The 20,354-nt window shown below is 53.1% G+C and overlaps 1 protein-coding gene and 1 long non-coding RNA gene across 2 annotated transcripts, besides 2 other annotated features; one reads left to right on the top strand and one right to left on the bottom strand.

Moving 5' to 3' along the window:
* Nucleotides 1-926: 926 nt before the first annotated feature.
* On the top strand, nucleotides 927-8,075 carry LOC124904103 (uncharacterized). Its single transcript, XM_047437264.1, has 4 exons — nucleotides 927-4,953; nucleotides 5,007-5,112; nucleotides 5,455-5,658; nucleotides 7,974-8,075. The coding sequence occupies exons 1-4, from the start codon at nucleotides 4,040-4,042 to the stop codon at nucleotides 8,073-8,075; spliced, it is 1,326 nt and encodes a 441-aa protein (XP_047293220.1). The 5' UTR covers nucleotides 927-4,039.
* LOC100507351 (uncharacterized) lies at nucleotides 1,797-19,880 on the bottom strand. The gene is made up of 2 exons (NR_040050.1): nucleotides 19,729-19,880; nucleotides 1,797-5,876 (listed from the first exon to the last, which is right to left on the bottom strand). It is a non-coding gene; the product is annotated as an uncharacterized LOC100507351 (long non-coding RNA).
* Nucleotides 2,456-2,956: an enhancer, noted in NCBI's record as "H3K4me1 hESC enhancer chr17:75559947-75560447 (GRCh37/hg19 assembly coordinates)". NCBI's record gives its function as "activates a minimal SCP1, AML or CMV promoter by ChIP-STARR-seq in primed H9 embryonic stem cells {active_cell/tissue: H9 hESC(primed)}" and the evidence as "EXISTENCE:reporter gene assay evidence [ECO:0000049][PMID:30033119]".
* Nucleotides 2,957-3,457: an enhancer, noted in NCBI's record as "H3K4me1 hESC enhancer chr17:75559446-75559946 (GRCh37/hg19 assembly coordinates)". NCBI's record gives its function as "activates a minimal SCP1, AML or CMV promoter by ChIP-STARR-seq in primed H9 embryonic stem cells {active_cell/tissue: H9 hESC(primed)}" and the evidence as "EXISTENCE:reporter gene assay evidence [ECO:0000049][PMID:30033119]".
* Nucleotides 19,881-20,354: the final 474 nt, after the last annotated feature.

The following is a 20,354-nucleotide window of genomic DNA, read 5'->3' as shown; positions in this document are numbered from 1 at the left end:
CCTCCATGCCATCTTCCGTGAAGGCGCATCAGTCAGCCGAGATTTCACTCCAGCCCGGGTCGGACTGTGGGGCGGGGTGACCCCACAAGGAGAAGGCTGGGGTGCCGAATGGGGGTGAGAGGGCCATGAGTGGAGCGGGTGGGCCATGCAGTTGCCTTGAGACCTTGAGCGGGTCATTCACACAGAAGGACAATTCCAGACAGTCTTATCTCCTGTTTTTGCTAAAACTGAATCCTCTCACTCCAAGGTCCAGGAGGACTGTGTCTCCCCATGGTCCACACCTCCCTGCCACTCTCCACTGATCATAAAGACCCTTTCTGATATGGTTGGGATCTGCCACCCCACCCAAATCTTATGTCGAACTATAGTCCCCAGTGTTGGAGGTGGGACCTGGTGGGAGGTGACTGGATCAGAGGGGCGGAGTTCTCATGAATGGTTTGGCACATTCCCCCTTGGGACTGTACAGTGAGTGAGTTCTCACGAGACCTGTTTGTTTAAAAGTGATGGCGCCTCCCCGCTCTCTCCCTTCCTCCTGCTCCAGCCATGTGAGGACGCCTGCTCCTCCTTTGCCTTCTGCCACTACTGTAAGTTTCCTGAGGCCTCCCCAGCCATGCTTCCTGTACAGCCTGCAGAACTGTGAGTCAATGAAACCTCGTTTCTTTATAAATTATCTGGTCTTAGCAACAGACTAATACGGTTCCCCTAGAAGTCACTTGTGCTGCTGTCTTATGAGGGAATCAAGGGTGGGAGGCAGGAGGAGAATGAGAGAGTGCCCAGGCTGATCTCCTGGGTCCATTAGGGAGGGCCTGCTACACATTCAACACCGTGCTAGGAACCATGGGGAGGAGGGCAAGAGTAAACCATGTGACTCACAGACTCCTGCACGATGCCTACTATGTGCTGGGCAAGGATAGGTGCTTCCCCTGTGTGTTCTGATTTAATTTCAGCAAATGGTAATAAGACGAATGAGAAAGCAAGAGAAAAAGGAAGAGGTGCAGAGTCACCATAGTTGGAATCCTGTAATCACAGAGGCTGGGCTTCCTGGTAATACAAGTGGTGACTCCAGCCATAATACTCTGAGACCATCTCATTGCACACTGGCCATGCACGGGGCACAGCTCTAAGCACTTCATCTCTACTGTCTCATTTAAAGCCCACAGACCTCCCAGAGACAGAGACCAACTGTGATCCCTACCGTGTGGATGGTGACACGGAGCACAGATCGTTTCAATCATTCACCCAAAGTCACACAGATTATATGGTTAAGCTGGGATTTGATCCCAGGACTCTCTGACTCTACAGCCTGAGTTGTCAATCTTCCTTTCTTACCTTGAGATAAGGAAGTATGGAGGAAAGAGTGAAAGGACCAGGTCACTGCCCAAGCGCCGCACTGCACAGTGACCTCAGACCCATGTGGCATCCACAGGTGTTGCCAATCCTGGGGTCCCATTCCCGGAGCTGGGGTGGGGAGGACCCTACCTGGCCCATGGACTAGCGGCTCTGGCTGGTGGCACGTGTCATGTGCTATCTCTGCATGGCAGCAGCCGGTTTTAAGACATGTTCTGACAAATCATCTCTCCCAGGTGAGAACAGCAGCTCACCCTCAGCCTGGTATTAGCAAATGGATTTTTTTGTCCGAGATGGAGTTTCACTCTTGTTGCCGAGGCTGGAGTGCAATGGCATGATCCCAGCTCACTGCAATATCCACCTCCCGGGTTCAAGTGATTCTCCTGCCTCAGCCTCCCGAGTAGCCAGGATTACAGGCACCTGATACCACGCCCGGCTAATTTTTTGTATTTTTAGTAGAGATGGGGTTTCGCCATGTTGGCCAGGCTGGTCTCGAACTCCTGACCTCAGGTGATCCACCTGCCTCGAGGCCTCCCACAGTGCTGGATTACAGGCGTGAACCACTGTGCTCGGCCAGCAAATGGATTTTGAACCTGTTCTGTGAAGTCTTACAGAAAAGGAGAGCTGGGAAGGAGATGGATGTGAGGCCCCTGGAGAAAGACAGACCTGGGCCCAAGCCTGGGACCTGCAGGTTCCGTCATCGCTGCGAGACTCGGTCATTCATCAGCAGGATGGGGCTCCCCAGAGTAGCTCCCTGGCAGGATTGGTGAGGATGAAAATAGAGATGCCTGTCCCAGCCAGCACTCCAGAGGCGTTGGCAATCACTGCTAAAGGTGACACACTATTTTTGGTTTTTAGGGGTAAAGCAAGACCTTAGCAAGGTCCCAGGCTGCAGGGCTGAATGCTGTGGTGGCTACAGGGGTGAGCGAGATGCCTGGCTCCGGGATCCTAAAACCAGACAGTGTCTGTAGAGGGAAAACATCCTCCATGTCACTGGAAGGGCCACCATCCAGGGTGCACGTCACCAGGGCTACAGGGAAGGGACATGGTGCTCTAGGCTCAGAGAAGGGAGGGATCTCCCTGGCTCGGGCGGGGTAGGAAGATCCTTATGAAGAAATGACATTTGCAGAAGGCCTCTAAGAAAGTGGAGGGTTTTCACAAACCAAAAGCAAGCAGAAAGCACGGCTGGAGTGAACCTTGCTATGGGGGCTCACAGGGTTGCACCTTCTCACCAGAGCATAGGGCAGGGGTGGGGAAGGAATGAGAGCCACAGACGGGAATGAAGTGGAAGGTAAGGTCTCAAAGGCAAGGCTGAGGGACCTGCCCTTCACTCCAACTTGCCCCAGGCCTAGCAAGGTGAGCAGGGATGGTTTCCTGGAGGGAAACATCAGCTCCGATCAGAGAGGAAATCCCAGGCCACCCCCTGCCTTTGTGGCAGGAAGCACTCAAGGCCTCTGGCTAGGATCTGGAGCCCCTGAGGCTGAGGTCAGGTGGCAGGGCCAGTGTCACCCTCCTCTGCCCCAGGGTGAGTGTGGCACTGAACCCCAGCACCATTTGTGCTTTCTGTCCCCCTGGATCTTGGGCCCGGCTGCCCCCCAATGCAGGGATGCCCACCACGGCCGTCCTCCTGGATGCAATCCTTCCCAGCCCTCAGGCATCTGCCAGCCTCCTCCTTCTCTGGCCTTCCCACATCTCAGCCTGGTTCCTGGACACAGATGCCGTGGTGTGCTGGAGCCGGCTCCTACTAGCTGGCAGGAGTCAATCTGCACATCTCTCCCCAAAACCATGATCAGCGAAATCCTCTTAGTAAGCTTGAAGTTGGCCATGCTGGGAGTATTTACACCATGGGAAGTGGCAAATGCTACCAGTTAGGTAGGGCTACTCTCTCTCAGAGAGCCAGTTGTTAGACTTACTAGCACACCTCTACACAGACAATGCTAGCCAAGCTGGTCTGGATTAGAACTCATTTAAAAGCTGCTCTCTCTGCATGCTCAGGGTGAGCAGAGCTGCTGAAATGGCAGAGTGAGGGACAGCTGATGAGTAGGAGAGACCCTCCAGCTGGGTCACTGAGGGTCTTCCAGGAGAAATGACACTTTCTATTCAGCATACTTGTCAGTGGTTTCAGTGAGGATGCCACTCGCCTGGAGGTCTCTGTATTGACTTCACAGGTTCTAATACCTCTCTCTTCAATAATATTCTAAATTCCTAGAAAGCAGGGGGCGCCAGCTGTGCCACTAACCTTGCTGCTTTATTTCTCTGGACCTGAACTCCCTCATGCGCAAAAAGGAAGATGGTGCTAGAAAGGAGCTTCTCAAGCCCTAATGCATCTACGAAACACCTGGGAGCTCGTTACACATGCAGATGCTGGACCTAACCTCACACTCGCAAAATCCAGCTCTCCAGGCGTGAGGCTGGGAACCCATATCGGTTCCAACTCAGGTGGTCTCAAAACCACATGGAGAAACACTGAGCCAGGCCAATGTGTTCCAACCCTCAGATTTCAGAAGGAGACAATGTCACCAGCAGCTGATTGGGCGTCTATGTGAGTGTCTGTCCTCAGATCTCAGAAGGAGATGATGTCACCAGCAGCTGGTTGGGTGTCCATGTCCTCAGATTTCAGAAGGAGACAATATCATCGGCAGGTGTTTAGGTGTCCATGTGAGTGTCTGTCCTCAGACCTCAGAAGGAGACGATGTCACCGGCAGGTGGTTGGGTGTCCATGTCCTCAGATCTCAGAAGGGGACGATGTCACCGGCAGCAGGTTTGGTGTCCATGTCCTCAGATCTCAGAAGGAGACGATGTCACTGGCAGGTGGTTTGGTGTCCATGTCCTCAGATCTCAGAAGGGAACGATGTCACCAGCAGCAGGTTGGGTGTCCATGTCCTCAGATCTCAGAAGGAGACGATGTCACCGGCAGGTGGTTGGGTATCCATGTCCTCAGATCTCAGAAGGGGACGATGTCACCGGCAGGTGGTTGGGTGTTCATGTCCTCAGATCTCAGAAGGAGACGATGTCACCGGCAGGTGGTTTGGTGTCCATATCCTCAGATCTCAGAAGGAGACGATGTCACCGGCAGGTGGCTGGGTATCAATGTCCTCAGATCTCAGAAGGGGACGATGTCACCGGCAGGTGGTTGGGTGTTCATGTCCTCAGATCTCAGAAGGAGACGATGTCACCGGCAGGTGGTTTGGTGTCCATGTCCTCAGATCTCAGAAGGAGACGATGTCACCGGCAGGTGGTTGGGTGTCCATGTCCTCAGATCTCAGAAGAAGATGATGTCACCGGCAGGTGGTTGGGTATCCATGTCCTCAGATCTCAGAAGGGGACGATGTCACTGGCAGGTGGTTTGGTGTTCATGTCCTCAGATCTCAGAAGGAGACAATGTCACCAGCAGGTGGTTTGGTGTCCATGTCCTCAGATCTCAGAAGGAGACAATGTCACCGGCAGGTGGTTGGATATCCACGTCCTCAGATCTCAGAAGGGGACGATATCACCGGCAGGTGGTTGGGTGTTCATGTCCTCAGATCTCAGAAGGAGACGATGTCACCGGCAGGTGGTTTGGTGTCCATGTCCTCAGATCTCAGAAGGAGACGATGTCACCGGCAGGTGGTTGGGTGTCCATGTCCTCAGATCTCAGAAGAAGATGATGTCACCGGCAGGTGGTTGGGTATCCATGTCCTCAGATCTCAGAAGGGGACGATGTCACTGGCAGGTGGTTTGGTGTTCATGTCCTCAGATCTCAGAAGGAGACAATGTCACCGGCAGGTGGTTTGGTGTCCATGTCCTCAGATCTCAGAAGGAGACAATGTCACCGGCAGGTGGTTGGATATCCACGTCCTCAGATCTCAGAAGGGGACGATATCACCGGCAGGTGGTTGGGTGTTCATGTCCTCAGATCTCAGAAGGAGACGATGTCACCGGCAGGTGGTTGGGTGTCCATGTCCTCAGATCTCAGAAGGAGACGATGTCACCGGCAGGTGGTTGGGTATCCATGTCCTCAGATCTCAGAAGGGGACGATGTCACTGGCAGGTGGTTTGGTGTTCATGTCCTCAGATCTCAGAAGGAGACAATGTCACCGGCAGGTGGTTTGGTGTCCATGTCCTCAGATCTCAGAAGGAGACAATGTCACCGGCAGGTGGTTGGATATCCACGTCCTCAGATCTCAGAAGGGGACGATATCACCGGCAGGTGGTTGGGTGTTCATGTCCTCAGATCTCAGAAGGAGACGATGTCACCGGCAGGTGGTTGGGTATCCATGTCCTCAGATCTCAGAAGGGGACGATGTCACCGGCAGCTGGTTGGGTGTTCATGTCAGTGCTTGTTTTCACTCTCAATAGCCTAAAAGTGTAACAGCCAGATGGGGATTTGAACGTCTTTGAAATTCAAAAGGAGCTGTGGCATCCAAGACCTCCTCCAGCCTGGTGTTCGATGACGCCATGACTAATTGTCGCCGGGTCCTTAGGATGCCACTAGCCATGTGAAGGGGCTTCATACGCACTTGCTGGCTCCCGAGCCGTATGTAGAACACCTGGAAAGAACAAATAATTCCCACACAAACAGCAAAAGGAAAGACAATTTTCATCAGCCGAGACACCATGAATCGTTATATATTTTATGAATCTCACTTACATTTCTTGTCCGACTTGTGCATAAAACTTCTCCAGATTTATACAAGCCCACTGCGTAAGTCATTCCCTTCCCAAACGGGCTTTATATCTTGATGACCTTTTAGAAACCAATGACTGCTTTTCTGTTGTTATCCATAATTGGAAAAGCACTGGAGATAAGAAAATTTATGGCAATGAATGATCTACCTGAGCAAAGCCATAAAGAACGCCGGGTTTCTAAAAGAGGGGCGGAGGGGGAAGGCGCTCACCCTGTTTGTCAAATGTTATCTCCATCAGCCAGGGCCTTCTGCAGCCACCGTGCTCTTGGCCGACTCCTGAAAGGTGGGGACGTGGCTGCTTCAGGGCTGTCCCGGGCAGTGTGGCTCCAACACGGGTCTAGGAGCCAACTTATTTTTTGTAAATGAAGGTCAAGAGAGGCACAGTCCTCCCCCACCCCAGTTTTCTCCCAGGCCCTCATTGATATAGGCTGTGTTTTAACGGAGGAAAGGTGGGCAAAGACAGAGGGGTTGGATTCAGGGGGATCACAGGGCATTTCCTTGACCCCCTCAGTTCCTATTGGTTTGCTGAGTGCCTACTATGGGCTGTTCAACAGGCTAGAGACATTGTCATGAACAGAATGCACAAAAATCCCAGGCTTTATGCAGTCCATACCCTATTAGACCTGAGATATATTCTTCTGGTTCCAGCCACAGAAAGGAGCGGGAAATGACTCTGAATGCCCAGGATAGGGGTCAACCAGCTTTTCCCCCTCTGGCCTCATGGAAACCAACCACTCCCCTGGCAGGGACGCTTAGCTAAAAGAATGCATCCCACCAGGAGAGCCCAGGAAAGCATGGATTGATTTATCCAGCATTTACTGAGCACCTTTGATGTACCTGCGAGCTTTAATGCTCAAACACACTGGTCAGGGCCTGGAAGGAGCACAGAGTCGGTGGTTCACACAACTTGGGGCACATGAGCACATTTTTGAGACAGAAAAAGGAACAGCATGGACCCTTCCTCACAGAGGATGGGGCAGAGAAGCAGGTAGCAGGCGTTGCTCCAGGAACCACACACCGCAGGGGTGGAAAATAAGTTAATTGCAGCAGGAGGGGCTCCAGTGTACAGCCCTCCCGGCTGTGCAATCAGGAGCAATCACTCCATTTCTCTGTATGAGAAATCCCAATTTCTGTATGAGGAGAGGGTAGACAGAGGAATAAAAGACAGGCAGTGAAGGGAAGAGGCACCTGAGACCAAGACCCAGCGAGCAGATGGAGTGAGGAAGGAGACCCATCCTGGCTCCCCCGTGGCCACATGTGCCAGAGAAGACATCAGCCTGGGGAGGTGACTCATGGTGACTCGATTTGCTCCCCACATTTGGGGAATCACAGGATTCCCTTGAACCAACGTTACCATGAAAGGGCAGTCGAAAGCAAAGTAAACTTATGAATGACTTCTTTGTATTACTGAGCTGCCCATGAACACATCCAGAGGGCAGAGTTTAATCCCCCAGAATGACAAGGATGTGACAGCATCAGTGCAAAGGAACTATCACTGGGCAATGGGGTGGCTGAGAGGAGTCTGTCCCCACCTAGAGATGCGTGCTAGGACCAGGCTCATACCTGCATCCCTGAAACACTCCCATTCTCCGCCTCTGAATCAGGACCACATGAGCCCACTGCCTAATACCACCTACCTGAGAAAGGTGTGCTGAGCCCTCCAGGGACACCACCTGGCCACACCCAGAGCCCAGCTCACCTCCACGCAGTATGCAATTATTGAGCACCAACTGCCTGGCCCTGGAGGGATCCATGGGAGACAGCGTGGCTTAAGGTTGAGAGTCAGGGGCTCAGGTCCAGCAGGCTGGGTTTCGGCTCCAGTTCTCACACTTACCCTGACTTTGAGCAAATCATTTAGCCCCTTGGAGTCTCAGATTCTTTGTCTGTAAATGGGATAATTGAGAGAACCCGCTCCAAAAGGAGGTGTGAGAATTCGACAGTGTGTGTTCCATGCTTAAGATGGGCTGGTTCACGCGGTTGGGCAATGATTATTGTGAGGTCTTCAGCTCCTCCTTCTCCTACTATTACTGCTACTACTACTGCTGCTGCTGCTACTTTTAGGGACCTAGGCCTTCAGGTTCTAAGGATGGAGACAGCATCACCTGGAGGTGCAGGTAAAGGAACCACGTTCCTAACCTGACAAGCAGGACCCTGATGCCAACAGTCCTGACGCCAACAACAAGGCTGTTCTCTGGCCTGTGCTTGGCCATGGTGGGCCGTCCTGAGGGACGTGAGGGCACGACTGGCTCTGGGGCAGGTCAACGTGCTTACAGCCTCCTTAAAGGACTAAATGTCGCAGGGGAAAGTGTCCAGGGACTGTGCTTTGAAGGCACTCCCAGGCAAGAACTCCCTCTGAAGTCGAGTGTCAGGGCTAAGACCCCGGAGCCAGACAGCCTGGATCTCAATCCTGTCTGACACTGGAGGCATGAGCCCCTCTGGGTCCTCAGCATGGTGGTGAGTGTGAAGGATGACTCTGATGCTTCTGGGATGAGCTAGGGCCTCCCTTGTCAGATGGGGAGCTTGCTCGGGGGGCGCTGGGGGACGCTGCCCCTTGAAGCCTCTGGCAAAGGGGACAAAGGGGCTGTGGTTCTGCTTCTGCCCGGGGAGAAGCAGAACCCCCTCACCTTCCACCTGGGGAGGGAGGGATTGTCCAGGTGGAAAAGCCATTTCAGAAGCTTCACCTGGGGTGCCGGAGGAGCCCCAGAGGACCATGGGCCCCCCACAAATTTTGAGTGTGTGCACGTTCTCAGCAAGGAGCTGCAGCTCGTCTAAGGGTCTTGACCCCCACCCCCACCCCCACCCCCTGCAAACCAAGCCTGTTACTCTCCTTCTACCACTTTCTTAGTGAGACTTGAGGTTTCTCCTGGATTGGGAAAGAAACTTGAGTGACTGAAATTGCCCCGTGATTCCCCGCCAGCTGGCAGAACCCAAACACATGAAAGGCACTAAATCCTAGGCAGGAAAATGGAATGATTTCACAGTGGAAGGGTGTCCCTGTCCCCGCCCAGGAAAGGGCTGCCATTTCTGGCCCAAGACTGCTCCCCTTGGAAAGGCCTGCCTGGAAGGCCAGCCCTTGGCGGCATCTGGGGACACGATTGCAGAAGCGTGGCCCATTCCCTAACGCAAGCGTGGCTCCCTGTGCCTAGGCTACGTGTGTAAAAAATGTGGCTCGTGGTGAGCACCTGCTTTCCTTCTGGGAGTCTGGAATTTTGGGGTGTGCCAAGCAGAAGGTGCCTAAGTGTCCAGACCCCTGTAAGAACTGTGGGTGCTGATGCAGGCCGGGCGCGGCGGCTCGCGCCTGTAATCCCAGCACTTTGGGAGGCTGAGGCAGACGGATCACCTTAGGTCAGGAGTTCAAGACAAGCCTGGCCAACATGGTGAAACCCCGTCTCTACAAAAATACAAAAATTAGCCAGGCATGATGGTAGGTGCCTGTAATCCCAGCTACTTGGGAGGCTGAGGCAGGAGAATCACTTGAACCTGGGAGGCGGAGGTTGCAGTGAGCCAAAATTGCGCCACTGCACTCCAGCCTGGGTAATAGAGCAAGACTCTGCCTCAAAAAAAGAGAAAGAGAAAGAGAAGGGAAGGAAAGGGAAAAAGGAAGGTAAGGAGGAAAGGAAGGGAAGGGAAGGAAGGGAAGGAAGGGAAGGAAGGGAAGGAAGGGAAGGAAGGAAAGGAAGAAAGAAAGAAGCCCCTACCCCTGGCAATTGCTAGCACAGCACCTATTTCAACCCTGCGGGGGCACTTCTTGCCCTCTTTTTTTTTTTTTACTGTTTCTTTTCCACCTGTGCTGACCAGAACACACGCTCCCTGCAAATGGGAACCTGGTCTTGTTGACAGTGCTCAGCACATAGCAGCTGTTTAAAGGATTACGGAAGAAGGGATGGAAGTAAGGAAGGTCACGGTTAGCTGAAGGACATTGGGGAGCTGAGTCAGAGATGGAGATCCGCGTGCAGGAGTTTGGAGACATCCAGCTGCAATGCAGCTGCAACAAAGCCTCAGCCATCCTAACAGGCAGCTCTGGAGCTGGGGAGGAGGTGAGGAAGGTTGCTCCAGTTGACTCTTGGCATCCCAGCCTTTATCTCCTGCACAGGCCTTTATCCCCTGCACCGGCCAGCGTGGGCTGCAAGCTGCCTGTGGAGGGCGGCATGAATTTGGGAAGCCCACTGTCTCTGGCTGAAGGCAAGTCCAGGAGAAGGACTCAGCTGGAGCTGAGCAGGAGGAATGAGCTTCCCAGGACTGGAGCGGGTGACGGTGGACATCCCCCAATCAGGGCGAGGACAGCCTTTTCCCAAGTATTTCCTGCTACGATGTTTTCTACCTGGGGCGTGCAAAGCAGCAAGGGAAGGTGGGAAGGGAGAAGAGAGCTGGCTGAGAGGTGGGCAGGGGCGCAGCAGCTGCAGAGGCCCTTCCTGCACAGCCCACCTCGCCCCCAGGGACACGGATCTGGACCAAAGCCCCCTCCGAGGATGCTGGGAGGCTTCCAGAGCCCCGTCCTCATTTCATGAGCTGGCTGCTCTCCTCACACCCTCAGGAGCCATTTTCCCATCTAAGTGCCCATAAACATCTTGCTCAATCTGCTACCTCAGCAGACGCCGGCTCTTCTAGGAGACGCTTCATCTGCCTTCCCCAGAGGGGAGCATTTCCAACCATCCCCCTGTGGGGTCTCAGCCTGGGTTTAGGGCTGCCTGGCAGGGGCACAGGGGCTCCAGGGGAAAGGGGTGGAGGGCAAGTGAGATGACAGCTCCCATAGCACTTGATTTTCTCGTGGGGCACACATGTGCATGAGAGTGTGTGTGTGTGTGTGTGTCCGTGGAATGCTGCCAAAGCAATTTGGTTTCCAAGGAAACGGTGTGAAGGTGCGCAGCGGCTGCCCGCACTCGGCAAGTGAGAAATGTGTGTCAACCATAACCCAGGCTCCCAGCTGGAGCCCAGCCAATTACTGCCCACTTGGAGGAGCCAAAAAGGAGAGGCTGGCCCAGGACAGAGTGGAGGGGGCTCGGGGGCTACAGGAGACCCACACCATGCCTGGGAGAGGGCCTGGCTGGCCAGTCAGGCTAAGGGAGGGGCTGGGTGGCAGGGTGAGTATTAGTCGTAAGTCACCAACTCTCCCAGTGAAAACCACATCAAGCCCTGGCGCCCACCCACCCCTCCCTCTCGGCTGCAGGGGGGAGCCAGGCAGGCAGGCAGCAGGCCATCCCGGCCCCACTCCACCGCTAATTATTTTCCATGATGAACATGTTATTATGTCTTACACTCGAAATAATCAATTTGGAATCACCACTTTGATGAGTTAATGGGCACTTGGTGGGTGTCATTTGAGAATCTCTCTGCAAAGCACAGTTCTATTTTTAACAGCGGCTGCACTGGGTACGCAGAGGACATGCTAAGTGTGCATGCGCCCAGCTCCCGGGCACCCAGCTCCCGGGCGCCCAGCTCCCGGGCGTGCTCGCTCTCGCTCTCTTTTTCTCTTCCCCTGCAGAGGATCTTGGGCACAAGGAGGGCTGAACATTCAGACTTGGGCAAGACTGGTGTGCTCAGACAAAACAGCCATCCCAGGCCTGGTTGAGGGGCCACGAAAGTGACACCTCTCCTGCCCTCTGGGCCATGGCCTGTGGACTGGAGGTCGCCCAGGGATCAGCTCCACCCCACGGGCCCAAATCGCGGGTCTCCACCTGGCTGAGCCCTTGATGTGCCTTGGCCACGGAATCCTCCAGACATCCCTAGGTGGTAGATTTGATTGTTAGTTTCTTTTCACAGAGGAGAAAACAGAGGCCCTAGGATTTGAAACCAGAGAGTCTGACCCTGGCTCCCAGTGGCAGTCTGCATGATGTTTTCCAGTAGATGACCTAATGTTGATGAAATAAGTAGAAGAATAAAGAATTTCTTTTCTTTTTTTTTTTTTTTTTTTTGAGAGGGAGTCTTGCTCTGTCACCCAGGCTGGAGTGCAATGGCTCAATCTTGGCTTACTGCAACCTCCACCTCCCGGGTTCCAGCAATTCTCCTACCTCAGCCTCCTGAGTAGCTGGGACTACAGGCGTGTGCCACCATGCCCAGCTAATTTTTGTATTTTTAGTAGAGATGGGGTTTCGCCATGTTGGCCAGGCTGGTCTCAAACTCCTGAACTCAGGTGATCTGCCTGCCTCAGCCTCCCAAAGTGAAGAATTTCTAACAATAGATTTTTCTTAATTGCAAAGACAGACAATAAAACAATTAGATGTCAAGCAATACAAAGGACCATGGTCAGAGTATGCTAGAAACTCACGTCCACAGTCAGGTCAGCGATGCTATTTAAAGCTAAGCATTTGATTTAGAAATATAAGGGTAGACACTCAACAGCCGTGGTTTGCCATCACGGGCTCCCCTGTGCTGGAACTTGTTCCCATGTGCAAGAATTGCTTTGATTAGAAGCAACATTCTGCCATCCTGGCTAACACGGTAAAACCCCGTCTCTACTAAAAATACAAAAAAAAATTGGCTGGGCGTGGTGGCAGGTGCCTGTAGTCCCAGCTACTTGGGAGGCTGAGGCAGGAGAATGGCGTGAACCCAGGAGGCAGAGCTTGCAGTGAACCGAGATTGTGCCACTGCACTCCAGCCTGGGCAACAGAGTGAGACTCCGCCACAGAAAAAAAAAAAAAGCAACACTCTGGGTGTAGAAGGATGGGATGGAGCTAGAAACAACATTGGTAAGGGGCAGAACCGTGGAGGGGGGCTCTTTATTGAAGAGGATCCAGGAAACTGAGAGAAAGGAAGCCTGTCTCCCACCAGGGCACCCTAGCTAAGCTCCCCAGAGACAAGGGCTGGCTTCCGTCTTTGTGTTTGCCCTCGGCCCAACCCACATGGTCACTGAGTCGAGGCCATCTTCCTGCTGGTGTTGAGTGTAAGAGGCACCAACAGTCCCTAGGCCAACACACCACCTCCCCTGCACACTGCACACTCCCCAGTGTGGGCACCACCCCTGCACACTACACACTCACACCCAGTGTGGGCCTCTACCTGCACACTACACACTCACACCCAGTGTGGGCCTCTACCTGCACACTGCACACTCACACCCAGTGTGGGCCTCTACCTGCACACTGCACAATCCTCTTGTGAGCATCTACCTCAAAGGATGTGGCCACCTGCCCTTGACCTTCCCAACCTTCATAAGACAATACCTGTTGATCTCCTCTCTAGCATCCATGCCCTTTATGCCCTTTTCCCAACAGCCTCTGTTTCTCTCTCTCTTTTTTTTTTTTTTTTTTTTTGAGACAGGGTCTCGCTCTGTTGCCCAGGCTGAAGTGCAGTGGCACAATACGGCTCACTGCAGCCTTGACCTCCTGGGTTCAAGCCAACCTCCCACCTCAGCTTTCCAACTAGCTGGGACCACAGGCATGTGCCACCATGCTTTGCTTCTTAACTTTTTGTACAGACAAGGGGCAGAGGTCTCACTATGTTGCCCAGGCTGGTCTTGAACTCCTGAGCTAAAGCAATCTGACTGCCTTGGCCTCCCAAAGTGCTGGGATTACAGGTATGAGCCACCGAGCCCAGCTCAGCCTCCATTTCTAAATTGGGGATCTGTGTTGGTCTCAGAAGGCTGACTCCATCCCTGGGTCCAGGGATACAGCGCAAGACCCACGCTAAGCCAGTCAGTGAATTTCCCATCCCTTTGCCACAGGGAATGGGTTCAAAGGTAGGCACATCAACCAACCCAGACCAATTAGTGCGAAGCTAGGAACCTTTGCCTGAAACGCTGGAAAAGAGAAGCTCTCTGTTACTAGACATGACCCAAAACAGCAGGGAGCCCCAAGGAGCTGCCAGCAGCCACCTGAGACTTGCCATAGGCAGATTTTAGAGATGAGCACACACACGCACGCACACACACACAGACACACACACACACTAGCTGCCTTGGTTCTCATGCATCAGAAGGCCCTGGTTCCAGAACACACAGGCCCTTTTGAGGAAAGTGCCCAGAAGGTAGCTCCATTCCATCCTGGTCTTCAAAAGGTAGGCAGCAACAAAATCTGCTTTTTCCACCTGAGAACAGCAGAAAACATCCAAACAGGCCAAAGCACAGAGGCTGCCTATTGTAACCAACTTCTTAAGAAGCCAGAAGCTCCACTCCCAGCATGGAGATGCCAAGGGCTGCCCCTCTCTAAAGCAAATCCCAGCTCCTCGATGGTTCCAAGGGTAGAGAACTGAGTTCTCTTTATTCACTGGTAGGTTTCTGTGTTCTCTGGCCACATCCCATCCAAGAGGAAGGAGGAGCATGGAAATGCTTTCCCAGTGCCTCTCTCCAGGACTTCTAAGCCGTTCATCTGGCAGAGCTCACAAAAGTCATGCTCACAGGCTTGCTGGGCACTGAGGAGCTCACAGGGTTTGCAGAACCCATCAAAGCTAAAGAACAGCAGAACCTCCAGGGCACCTTTTCAAAAACTGAGGTGATCTTCAGGGGGAAGAAAAAGGACCCTGGGACCCAGAGAAAATCAGGTTTGCACTCGTCGATGTTACAAATTCTAGTGGTAGCAAAGGTGGGAGACCTTGAGTGCAATGGCGCAATCTTGGCTCCCTGCAACCTCCGCCTCCCAGGTTTAAGCGATTCTCCTGCCTCAGTCTCCCAAGTATTTGGGATTACAGGCACGCGCCACCACGCATGGCTAATTTTTGTATTTTTAGTAGAGACGGGGTTTCACCATGTTGGCCAGGCTGGTCTCGAACTCCCGACCTCAGGTAATCTGCCTTCCTTGGCCTCCCAAAGTGCTGGGATTACAGGCATGAGCCACCACACCCTGCCTTAGAATTTTTTAAAAATCTGATACTATTAAGTATTGGCTGAGATACAGAATTCTCATTCATTGCTGCTGGGAATGCAAGATGGTACAGCCATTTCTTACAAAGTTAAGCATACATGTACTACACAACCCAAGAGTCCATACTGGGACCATATGTTCCCATAAAACCCGGTATGTCAACATTCACAGCAGCCTTATTCATCTTTAAAAACCAGAAGCAGGTCAGGCACAGTGGCTCACACCTGTAATCCTAGCACTTTGGGAGGCCAAGGCAAAAGAATCACTTGATCCCAGGAATTCAAGCCCAGCCTGGGCAACAGAGTGAGACCCCAGCTCTACCAAAAATTTTAAAATTAGCCAAGCACGGTGGCACATGCCGGTAGTCCCAGCTACTTGGGAGGCTGAGGCAGGAGGATCACTTGAGCCCAGGAGTTTGAGGCTGCAGTGAGCTATGATCACACCACCGCAATGCAGCCTGGGCAACAGAGCAAGATCCTGTCTCAAAAAAACAAAACAAAATGAAACAGAAACATTCTAAACATCATTCACTTGGTAAACAGATAAACTGTGGTACATCCATACAATGGGATGCTACTCAGTAATAACAACAAACTACTGTTATACACACCAGCATGAATGAGTCTCAAATGCATTATGCTAAGGAAAAAAAGCCAGACTCAAAGGGCTACCTACCATATGATTCCATTTCTATGACATTCTGGAAAAGACGAAACTATAGGGAAAGATCACCGATGATTAGTTTCCAGGGACCAAGGAGAGAGGGAGTTTTGACTACAAAGGAACATGAGGGAATGTTTTGGGAGGAGCAAATGAACTGTTCACATCTTGATTACAGGGCTGGTTGAACGACTGCCTGCATTTATCAAAACGCACAGAACTGTGTGCCAAAATGCAAAAATTTTATTGTATGCAAATTATACCTCCATCACCCTGACTGAAAAGAACATGTATGGAAGTCAGTTCAGATTGAACTCATTAAAATATAAATTTGTCAGGGCAGGTGCAGCGGCTCACGCCTATAATCCCAGCACTTTGGGAAGCCAAGGTGGGAGGATTGCTTGAGTCCAGGAGTTCCAGACCAGCCTGGGAAACATAGTGAGACCCCCCATCTCTTTTAAAAATGTTTAAAAGAAAAAATATACACATTTGTCATAGCAGTATAACTTATTTATTATCAACAAACAGGACATGTGGATCAAGTAAGTGTGTTAATGTCAAGTAAAATAATTAACATAAGTCATACGCAAGTTATTTTTTAAATGATTTAGTCCGTAGATGTAGTGTTTAGACTTTCTATGCAGCCCCATTGCCTTTTCCCCTCCTAATGTAAAAAAATGTTGCTGAGCCGGGTGCAGTGGCTCATGCCTGTAATCCCAGCACTTTGGGAGGCCGAGGTGGGTGGATCACCTGAGGTCAGGAGTTTGAGACCAGCCTGGCCAACATGGTGAAACCCCATCTCTACTAAAAATACAAAAATTAGCCAGGCATGGTGGCGGTCATCTGTAATCTCAGCTACTTGGAGGCTGAGGCAGGAGAATCACTTGAACCCGGGAGGCTGAGGTTGCAGTGAGCCGAGATCACGCCATTGCACTCCAGCCTGGGCAACAAGAGTGAAACTCCATCTCAAAACAAAAAAAAAAATGTTGCTGGCAAGTTGAAGCTCTGCATTTGGAGGCTGGGGTCCCATGTGCCCATCCAATGCCTCCCATGGTCCCTGTTCTTTCCTGCCTAGAGGTTTGGGGCCATCACTGAGATGGCAGGAACTGAGGTTGGAAAGAGACGCCATCTCCACATGCCCACAGCCTCTGGTCATTCATGAGGGCTGATAAATGCGCATGGTGGGGTGGGCGGGGATCGTGATTGATAACAGCTACAGTGGAAAGGCGGGGGGAAGAAAAAAAGAGACAAGCCAAGGGAAAAAGGGGGAGAAACAGAGAAACAGTAGGCGGAGTGGTGTGCTGAGTGGAGGACAGTGTTGAAGCCACCTAAGTCGTGCCAGGTGTCACTTAGTGGCAGCCATCATGGGCCATCTACTCTGTCTGGATTATGTGAACAGACAGGCAAAGGGCTCAAGCCCTCCCCTCTGGGGCTCTTCCAGACTCATGAGCAAATAACCTAGCCATCCCTGCACTGCAAGTTAAAAGGGGTCGCCAGCCCTTTGACATTTATACAGCTTGACCGAAGATAAATAAACTCTCCTGTTCGTTTAAGGAAAGGCCTTCAAAGCCCAGAGCCCTTGGAAGAGTGCTTCTTCCTTCCACTTAGAGAAATTGACTCTCCCTCTGCGCCCTTGGTGCCTGGCCCGGGGGACAGGCCGAGGGCAATGCCCAGACTACTCCTGTCCGTGTGCGGGGCCCATACCCTCCTTGCCACTGTCCTGTCTGTGCTCCAAATATTAAGAGGATGCCCCATCACCTGGGAGGACGTGCCTCTGCCCTCCAGCTCCGCGTGGCAGTATTCTGCACAGAGCTAGCAACTCCTCAGTACAACAGGCGCTTGCAGGGAAACCACAGTCCCTGCACTGTACAGGAGGCCCCTGTGCACAGGTGAAGGACCAGGAGCCAGCAGAGGTCCTAACTTGGGAACTTGGAACAGACACACATGGAGGTTGGTCTTTCCCTGGGTGCCCGGTCTATGAATTGATAGGCCTAGAAGGCAGAGGAAGGAGACACCTAGAGTCCAGCATCCAGTTGAACTCAAGGGTCCTGTGGCCCTAGGGAACCCCCCATTTTTACAATCAACATTTTTTCTGCTTAATTAATTAAGCAACCTCAGGCAGGCTCTGCTATGGAGGAACTCCTTCCATTTCGCTGGTAAGGACTCTGAGGCTCAGAAAGGGGAAGTCTTGGTCTAAAGTCACAGGGTCATTAAGGGAAGAGCCAAGGCTCAAACCCAGAGAGGTGTGAGTCTGAAACCCACGTTCCCAAAACAGCACTCCTGCCAGGGCAGGTTCCAGAGAAGGTTCCCCGTCTGTGAGCGGGGCCAACTCTTTCCAGAAGCCTTGCCTGGGGGTCTCGGCCCAGGCTGTCCATCAGAGTCAACCGCAGAGCTTTGGAAATTCAGATGCTCAGGCTCCATCCCTATGGAACTGCCCTCCCAGGGAGCAGGCGTAGCTCCCACACCTGATTCTTAGCCAAAGGGGGAGCCTCAGGCAGTCCAGCCCCAACAGGTCACCAGTGAGCAAGCTTAAGATCCAGCCCCCCTACCCACCCACTGTATGATTCTGCAAAGGCTTACTCCACAGGTGCAACGCCCCTGCAGGGCCCTCCCCTTTCCCTAGCACCAGCCAACTAGACACACCTGCTCGTTCCAGCCAAACTCCTCCACCTTGAAGTTGGCTGACTGGTCTCCATCTCTTCAAGGACCCTAGAACCCCAAAGCCCGGTGAGGAAAGGGACCAGAAGAGAGACCAGGCCGGCCAGGAGAGGAGGAGCTGGGCATTGCACAGACCTGGGAGAGAAGAGGCTAATTCCGGGGTGGGCCGTCCGCTCAGGAAGGGAGACGCTGAGGCCATGCCGCATGCGCCAGAGCTGGTGGGCGGGGCCTGCCGTAGACCGCCCACCTGGGGAGGGGGTGGGGCACGCCGTCAGGCTCACAGGTGTTGTTGGCAGCTGGGCAGGAGGTGCAGAGGCTGCAGGTGGATACTGCCAGGTAAGGCAGGGTCAGGAAGATCCGACTGCTTCCATCTGAACTCACATCCTGCCCCCTAATATCTGTCAGAGGTCTTTAGCCTTGCAGGCAGAGGCCTGGCGGTCACCAGGCCACCAGTTTCTTCTCTGGTGGCCAGCACAGAGCTAACATTCCTGCCCTGGAACAGGCATCACATGGGAAATAACCTCCAGGCACTCACCTGGGGCCGTGTCTTCTTTGAGCCAAGATGAGGTCAACAAGTCACCGGTAAGCAAGCTTAAGATCCAGCTTGGCCGGGTGCGGTGGCTCACGCCTGTTAGTCCTAGCACTTTGGGAGGCCGAGGCGGGCGGATCACGAGGTCAGGAGATCGAGACCATCCTGGCTAAGACGGTGAAACCCCGTCTCTACTAAAAAAATCCAAAAAAATCAGCCGGGAGTGGTGGCGGGCGCCTGTAGTCCCAGCTACTCGGGAGACCCCATCTCTACCAAACATTTTAAAATTAGCCGAGCATGGTGGCGCATGCCTATAGTCCCAGCTACTTGGGAGGCTGAGGCAAGAGGATCACTTGAGCCCAGGAGTTTGAGGCTGCAGTGAGCTATGCTTGCCCCACTGCAATGCAGCCTGGGCAACAGAGCAAGATCCTGTCTCAAAAAACAAAACCAGGCTGGGCATGGTAGCTTACGCCTGTAATCCCAGCACTTTGGGAGGCCGAGGAGGCTGGATCACGAGGTCAGGAGATCGAGACCATCCTGGCTAACACGGTGAAACCCCATCTTTACTAAAAAAAATACAAAAAAATTAGCCGGGTGTGGCGGCCGGCGCCTGTAGTCCCAGCTACTGGGGAGGCTGAGGCAGGACAATGGCGTGAACCCGGGAGGCGGAGCTTGCAGTGAGCCCAGATTGCACCACTGCACTCCAGCCTGGGCGACAGAGGGAGACTCCGTCTCAAAAAAAAAAAAAAAGGATCCAGCTCCCCCACCCGCTGCAGGATTTTGCAAAGGGTCACCCCACTCCTGCAAGGCCCTCCCCTGCCCCTAGCACCAGGAAACCACACATGCTGGGGTGGCACAAACACTCCTGTACCTCAAAACTTGCATAGGAAAACTTACAGAAGCAAAAATGGAGGCCTTGAGACAAGGAAAGAAATAAGAGGAAGCATCTAGAAAGCCGGCAGGTTTCTTGGTGCCGTCATCAGCACAGCCACCCTGCCACTCATGCCCGGAGAGCCCCTTCCCTCCAGCCGGCTCCACTAGCATTCTCAGCCGGAGCTGAAAGAGCTCCTACCTTTCTCATAGCAGAGACTCACTCTGTCCACAAGGAGGGAAGCCATCCAGAATCGTCCTCCCTCTCCCGCTGGGGAAGCCCCCACTCTCCAGCTGCCGCCCCACCCCCCACCCCCAAGAACGCAGCTCGCTCCAGTCTCCAGGCCTTTGTTCTGCCCCGCTGTGGCTTCTGCTCAGCCCCTCCCAGTGCTGTTTCCAGCCCCACCCCACTGCACTGCATAAGCCCAAGGGAAACTCCCCCACCCTCATTAAATCCCAGCTCTCCCTGGAGGATTCCTGCGTTTAAGGCCCAGACTCCTTCCTCCAGTGAAAGCTCCGAGTCACCCCTGGTGGGTGCATGCACTGTTTAAAGTTGAACTCCTCAGCTTTGTCATTAAGTTTTCATGCCTTAGGCTGCACGCTGTGGCTCACGCCTGTAATCCCAGCACTTTGGAAGGCCGAGGCAGGAGGATCACTTGAGGTCAGGAGTTTGAGACCAGCCTGGTCAACATGGTGAAACCCCATCTCTACTAAAAATACAAAAATTAGCCGGGCACGGTGGTGGGCGCTGTGGTCCCAGCTACTCGGGGAGGCTGAGGTGGGAGGATTGCTTGAACCTGGGGGCAGAGGTTGCCGTGAGCCGAGATG

The sequence above is a fragment of the Homo sapiens genome, chromosome 17 (assembly GCF_000001405.40).
Source record: "Homo sapiens chromosome 17, GRCh38.p14 Primary Assembly".
Lineage (NCBI taxonomy): Eukaryota > Metazoa > Chordata > Mammalia > Primates > Hominidae > Homo > Homo sapiens.
The sequence above is the reverse complement of the archived record's forward strand: the minus strand, read 5'-3'. Positions and strand labels throughout refer to the sequence as shown.

What these genes read in the sequence shown, in the direction of transcription:
- LOC124904103 (XM_047437264.1), top strand. Translation starts at nt 4,040, where the DNA reads ATGTCACCGGCAGGTGGTTGGGTGTCCATGTCCTCAGATCTCAGAAGG. An exon ending in GGAGACGATGTCACCGGCAG is followed by an intron (nt 4,954 to 5,006) that starts GTGGTTGGGTGT and finishes TGTCACCGGCAG; the next exon opens with GTGGTTGGGTATCCATGTCC. An exon ending in GCAGCTGGTTGGGTGTTCAT is followed by an intron (nt 5,659 to 7,973) that starts GTCAGTGCTTGT and finishes TCCATGCTTAAG; the next exon opens with ATGGGCTGGTTCACGCGGTT.